This window comes from Homo sapiens, chromosome 9, assembly GCF_000001405.40.
Source record: "Homo sapiens chromosome 9, GRCh38.p14 Primary Assembly".
Taxonomy (NCBI): Eukaryota; Metazoa; Chordata; class Mammalia; order Primates; family Hominidae; genus Homo; species Homo sapiens.
Genome location: NC_000009.12, coordinates 64,497,387 through 64,500,150, shown reverse-complemented (window position 1 = coordinate 64,500,150; position 2,764 = coordinate 64,497,387). Strand labels below are relative to the sequence as shown.

The 2,764-nt window shown below is 47.8% G+C and overlaps 1 annotated feature.

The window, feature by feature from the left end:
- Nucleotides 955-1,912: an enhancer, noted in NCBI's record as "H3K4me1 hESC enhancer chr9:69510657-69511614 (GRCh37/hg19 assembly coordinates)". NCBI's record gives its function as "activates a minimal SCP1, AML or CMV promoter by ChIP-STARR-seq in primed H9 embryonic stem cells {active_cell/tissue: H9 hESC(primed)}" and the evidence as "EXISTENCE:reporter gene assay evidence [ECO:0000049][PMID:30033119]".

Here is a 2,764-nt window from a genome sequence, read left to right as displayed (position 1 = left end):
GCGCTTCCGAAATGTACTGGATGATGTTAGGAGAGAGGCGGGTCAACGTGGCTAGGCCATAAGTGTTTACTAATTGAGGCTTAGGAAAGTTAAGTTCCTAACCAGAGACTGGGAGATAGAGGCGCTAAATTGTATAACATTTATATTTAATATATATTTAATAATATATAGTAAAGTCTTAAAATGCCAATTTTAAGTCTTTTCATTTTCTTCTTAAAAACAGAGGTTTTATTGCGTTTGGTCCACAGTCGGTATTTCACATTATCTCATAGCGCAGGGCCCCTGGGTGGAGGGCTCTGTGCAGTACTTGGCGTGGCCTGGAGCCGGGAGAGATAGAGCAGTAGACCTGGTCAGGCCCGGAAGGGGAGAAGGAGGGCCGGGGCTCCTTAAGACCTACTGAGGGGCTGGGCGCGGTGGCTCACGCCTGTCATCCCAACACTTTGGGAGGACGAAACAGGCGGATCACATGAGGGAAAGAGTTCCAAACCAGCCTGGCCAACATGGTGAAATCCCGTCTCTACTAAAAATACAAAAAATTAGGCAGGCGTGGTGGTGGGCGCCTGTAGTCTCAGCTACTCTGGAGGCTGAGGCAGGAGAATCGCTTGAGCCCGGTAGGCCGAGGTGCAGTGAGGCGAGATTACTCCAGTGCGCTTCAGCCTGGGCAACAGAGTGAGACTACATCTCAACAAAAACAAAAACAAACAAAAAACCCTACTGAGGGCCACGGAGGTCGGGGAGCAGGATGGAGATGGGTCAGGCTTAACCCTGACAACTCAAAATTCCAGTACCTTGTATGGGCCTCAGTTTCCTCACGGGGCCCCAGCGTAGGTCTGAGGTCTGTTGGTCTGAGGGTCCTAGGGAAATCCAGCCACTCAGGAGCCTGAGATATTTTAGCATCATGGCTGAGCCCCCTCTCCCAGGGGACACACTTCCTAGCACCCTCTCCACTGTCCCCGCCCCATTCCTCGGGGAAAAAAATTTTTTTTTATTTTGTTAATACTTCCTGAAACTTTTGCAGGTACAGAAACCACTTACTGATAGGCTGAGAAAAGGGGAAGAGGAGAGGCAACCAGAAACCTTCAGGGACCGGTTCCCTCCATGTCCAGGTCTCTTCTCTCCAGCACAGCTCAGCCTACAGCCTGGAAGTGCCAGCGGGCACCTTCACCCTACACGCATCAGGATACGGCCTTGATCCCTTCCCCCACAGCCCGGTGGCTCAGTCCTGAGAAGGAACCAAAGCAGGGGGAGGTGGGGAAAAAACCCTGCTGCCTGATCCCACGCTGCCACTCACAGACCCTCGGTTGACTGGCAGCACTGAACAGGTTAAAAAAAAAAAAGATGAAAACACAGAAAAACCCAAACACCCAGAGGGGAGATCATGTGTGGAGAGAGCGTGCTGGGAGCCTCAGTAGCCGGTCTCCTCCTGGTAGTAAGGGAGATATTCCGGGGCCGGAGCCCGAGGGAGCGCCGTGGGCCACTGGGCTTCCCCAGTAGTACCTGGGGTCGTATATCTGTGGGCCCATGCCGAAGGCCTGGCCGCTCTGATGAGCGCCCTGTGTGTATCCCATCTTCAGGGACGTGGAGGAGTTGTCACACTTGTCGATTCCCAGCTTGGTGTCATAGGTGTGCTCATTACTCCTATCTAGCTGTAAGTTTGTATTTGTTAACCAACCTCTCCCTGTGCTCTTCTCCCTGTTGCTCTCCCCAGCCTGTAATAACCAGAATTCTACTCTCCACTTCCATGAGCTCAGTTCGTTTTTTTTTAACTCCCACATATGAGTGAGAACATGCAAGATTTATAATTCTGTGCCTAGGTTATTTCACTTAATGTAGTGTTCCAGGCTGATCCATGTTGCAGCCAAGGACAGGATTTCATTATTTTTACGGTTAAATAGTACTCCACTGTGAATAGATACTACATTTTTAATCTATTATGTTTTTGGACATTTAGGTTGATTCTAATCTTGGCTACTGTGAATAGTGGCTGCTATAAACATGAGGGTGCAGGTATCTCCTAAATATGCTGATTTCCTTTCCTGTAGATAAATGCCCCATAGTAGGACTGCTGGAAAAAAAAAAAATTCTTTTTCTTTAAACCTGATCATGTCTGTCCTCATAAATGCATGTTACACCCATCTCTCGCCATCAATGCAACCCGACCCCGAGCAGTTGTTCACTCTTCTCTTCCCTCGTTCTCGGCACACCGTGTGCCTCCATACCCCAGCCTCAGGCCTTTCTATACCACTTCCCATTTGAGGCACTGTGTTTTTATTCAACTTTGGTACTGTCCTTTGAGAATCTTCAACGTGATTTGGATATGGCACTTTTTATCAGGATGTTACGTCAGAGTTGATAAATTCAAAGTAATATCGTTCTTTTTCCTGCCAAAGTCAGCTCCTCCTTTCCACTGCACTTTCCTGCCGATGCCACCACTCTTTCTCCTGTTGTGTAGGGAGAACACAGGTCACCTCCCTGGCATGAAATGTGCAGGTGCTCAATAAAGATTTTTTGAATACATGAATGAATGTTCTTAGAGGACACCCTTGTACCTGGACTGGTCATTACATAGGTGTAAGTTTTATTCTCTAAAAGGGGTGAGTGAGAGTTTATACTAAGGTTGTAAGCATCCCTCAGGGCAGACTCTGGATGTATATTACAGAACTGCTGAACTTGTGGAATGTGCATGTTTAATACTGAAAATATTTAATGCCACATGTGTAAGACTTTTGCCAACTGGAATCTGAACATCAACAATTTTGAAGGG